The 3,728-nt window shown below is 50.3% G+C and overlaps 1 annotated feature.

Moving 5' to 3' along the window:
• Nucleotides 2,484–3,421: an enhancer, noted in NCBI's record as "H3K27ac-H3K4me1 hESC enhancer chr1:235034177-235035114 (GRCh37/hg19 assembly coordinates)". NCBI's record gives its function as "activates a minimal SCP1, AML or CMV promoter by ChIP-STARR-seq in naive H9 embryonic stem cells {active_cell/tissue: H9 hESC(naive)}" and the evidence as "EXISTENCE:reporter gene assay evidence [ECO:0000049][PMID:30033119]".

The following is a 3,728-nucleotide window of genomic DNA, read 5'->3' as shown; positions in this document are numbered from 1 at the left end:
AATAACAGGAATTGTTAAACGTTGCACGATATTCCTCTGCTACCTTGTACCATTGTTGCAAATACCATGTTACTTCTTCAGTATCTCCAGGAACAGGAATCAGAGCAGGAAGAGAGGTGGGGAAATGGGTGAACCGCTCCACTGGGAAACGATTATTCGTTATGCAAGAATCTGTTCATTCATGGTATCCGAGGGAAAAGGTCATATGAATTTGTCTTTTCTCTCACCCATATTAGTCAGCAACTCAAATCATCTCCCACTCCAAAACACTGTCCTCTCCGACATCAGCAGCCACAGTGCAGTCCACAGACCTCCATGGCACCTGGAGGGAGCGGCTTTCCTTAGCCCTCCCCACAAAGACATAGGGCAAAAAATATGGGGAAGCCACGGAGAAGGGTTTCCTGGCTACAAGAGTGGATGTTTGGGATTATGAGTGCTGGATCCCAAGCGACTGAGGGACCTCCGTGAGCATTAATGAAATGACGTTTTTTTTTAGCCGGGCGCAGTGGTGGGCGCCTGTGATCCCAGCTACTCAGGAGGCTGAGGCAGGAGAATGGTGTGAACCCGGGAGGCGGAGCTTGCAGTGAGCCGAGATAGCACCACTGCAGTCTGGCCTGGGCGAAAGAGGGAAACTCCTTCTCAAAAAAAGAAAAAAGAAAAAAAAAAAAGAAATTACATTTTTTTGTTTGTTTGTTTGCATTTGTGACTGTGGCGCTGTCTAAACCATCTCAGGGGAGGAGTCCCTTTTGCCTGTGTCTCCTGAGAGTGCTGACTACTCATATAGAGCAAGACCCTGCTGAAGAATAACCACTCGAGGCTGTCTCTTTTTACCTCCTGGTAGCGACTTATCCTTGCTCCAGGGGTTCTGGATGAGGCATCCTTCTTAGACAGAAGGGTGCTTTTAAGAGGCATGGGCGGCTCCATGGGTCACTTCTGTTCCAGTTGGTTCCTGAAGTGGTGCAGAGTTGGAGTAAAGGCTGTGTGGTCAGTTGGCCCAGACTAAGAGTATCCTTTTGTAGTTGGCATAAGGTTGTAGCACGTGCAGGCCTGAAACAGCTGCAGTCATCTCTCTGGGAAGCTTCTGTCCAGGCACTGTCTCAGGCTGGATTGCACTCTGTGGGCCCTGTCCTGATTGGGTCTGACCTGTGTCTGACCCTGTCTTTGCTCTCACCGTGTTCCTGATCTCACTTATTTGCTGTATCTTCCCCCAGGCCCTGTGCTGCATCAGTTCCCCTCTACCTGCTCACTTCACCTGGTCCCCTGATTCTCTCCTGGCTGACTGTGGCCGCCCCAGTAGTATTTTTCCCCTTCCCCAAAGACATAGGACAAAAGATATGGAGAAGAGGTTTGAGTTTCTTGTCCCTGAGGGTCTGAAAATGAGACCCAGAATGTGATCGGCATTCCCATATAGAATGAGCATACAAACAAAAATTTTCAAAAAGTGAATGTGTGAGTCGATAAGGCCCATGCAGCATTTTCATGGTGTCCATGTTACAGAAGGGTCACCACTAAGATTTCTACAACCAGCGTGGCAAGATAAGGGCTGGCCCAGATCACCCTGGCAAAATCTCGCATTTTGAAAAAGTTGGAAGACTCTCACAAGGAAAACCCATGACTGTAACGACGCCCACGATTCATCGATCCCCTCCATAAGTTGAGCTTTGAGCCCGGTGAAATTAGGTATGTCTAAAAACACATTCAGAATGTATTTAAATTGTGCTGTAATGCGACTGTTCTCAAGGATCCCCGTTTCTCTGGTTTCACGGATGTTTTGGTTGGATTGCATCTTGAAACTGCCTTAGCCCAAAAACATCTTCTTGCAGAAACAGCAGGTTCATTTCAATTCAATATTTCACTTTGGACGATTGCTTGACTTCATTGAGCGCCGCATGCTGAGACTTGGTCTCCCCGGGACCCACATGCTTCCTTCTCATTAGCATCGGAGGGAGCCTCGGCAGACAGATTGAGGCCAAGGAGAAGGCGGACCCCCACGACTCTGCGCCATGGCAGCGTGGAGCGTAGCTGAGCAGAAAGCTGGTGCACGCTAATAGTTGTAAATGGTGTTTTGCGAGCCATATGCTGCCTCTGATTGTATTTACATTGAGACACACAACATCTTGTTATCAAACAAGGCAAGAGGCAACACTAAATGGTAGGAGATAGCAACCTCAGTGAATGGCGGCGGCTTCTCCATTGCGCGCTGGTGCCCGGATGTTTAGTCTGGCAGAAATTCAGATCAGAAGGTCATTGCTGGGAAGTGTGACAATGCCATGTGTCCTGGGCTGACAGACTGCTTTGGAATGTAAGAGGAGGCTCTCTCTGCACCCCAAAGCAGAAGAAGATTCAGGATTCTGCTGCCTGGCTGAATTTTTCCTCTAGGAACTGTTTGAGGCCCTGGGGCTGAGCCCAGTGTGAACCCAGTTTACCCTCAAGTGCTTTTCTGGTTATGCACCTTATGAAGCTGAAACTCTGGGCATGGGGGTGGGGGTAGGGGGAACTTCAGAGGTTTATCTGTGAAAAGATGTGGCTGAGACGGTGCAACACAGAGGCTGACGTGGAGGCCAGGCGGTGTCTGTGCAGGGCTGGTGCCTGCTTTCCCAGGTGGGGTATGTTGTCATCCTGCAGTCATGCTGGGCTCTGGAGAGCAGGCGTGACTGTTTGCACTGTGGCTCTGCCTGAATCTGTGTTTTGTGGCTCTGGGAGGCACAAACTCCCCAGGTACAAGTTATGTAGAACTGAGGTTCCAGCTCAGGTTACCTGTGGCACAGGTGTCTCGGAAAGCCCTCCTCCGGGCTGAAGGCAGCTGCTCCTGCCCCAGCAAGTGGAGCTGGTGAGAAAGGACGAGAGGTTCTTTGTGTCTTGGTGAAATCAACCTCAAAATCACATGGATTGGGGAGCAGCCCTGCCCTTGCCAAACTCCTTATTGGGAAGGTGTTGGGGTGTTGAAAATGTTCTTTCCTGTTCAGAGGGAATGTTAAGGCAGAAGGGGAATTTCAGCAGGTGACACGGCAGAGAGGGGTGGACCTTCCGGTTTGTGCTGGTTGTCACTGGGCAGACACATCGTGGCCGTCTCATGAGCCTAACCAGGGAGCTGGACTGGAAGGCTTTAAGGATCTGCTCTGAACCCGAGATTTTGTTAGGCCTGTCAGAGGGTGGGCACAGATGGAGTCTTCTGGGAGACCTGAGTTCAAGTCCCATCTCCCAGTTTCTTGCTCACTGTGCCTCCTGAGGCAAGTTACTTAACCTCTCTGATCACAGCTTCCTGATTCCTAAAACAGATGGTTGGTATGAAGAGTAATCTGGCTCACAGTAGGTACTTAGTGAGTAGTAGTTGCTTTTCCTTCCTCTCCTTCTTCGAGTTGGCAGGGCGCACAGGCAACACAATACTTCCGCCTCTAAAGTGCACGCCTTGTCTATCACAGACTCAACTTTCCTCCCCACACTTGGAGGTGAGGACCGTCAGCTGTAACGCCATTCAAATGGAAGGCACTGTTGCTCTTTGAGGATAGGTGTAACTCAAGAGTCCACCTGTCACCTGATTCTCTGCCAGGCCAGCTCAGAGTCTGTGGCATCTGTCACTGCTTAGGGACCTGAAGTGCCTGTGAACATCATATCCCCAAAGGTGGCCGGCCTGTCCGTGAGCTGGGTTTTCAGTCGGCTTGCGTGGCACTTGGCATTGTCAGAACACAGGGTTTTCGTGAATCCTTCCCCTGTCCCAGGGTCACCAG

The sequence above is a fragment of the Homo sapiens genome, chromosome 1, assembly GCF_000001405.40.
Source record: "Homo sapiens chromosome 1, GRCh38.p14 Primary Assembly".
NCBI classification, from domain to species: Eukaryota; Metazoa; Chordata; class Mammalia; order Primates; family Hominidae; genus Homo; species Homo sapiens.
Note: the sequence above shows the minus strand (reverse complement) of the source record. Positions and strands in the feature narration are given on the sequence as shown.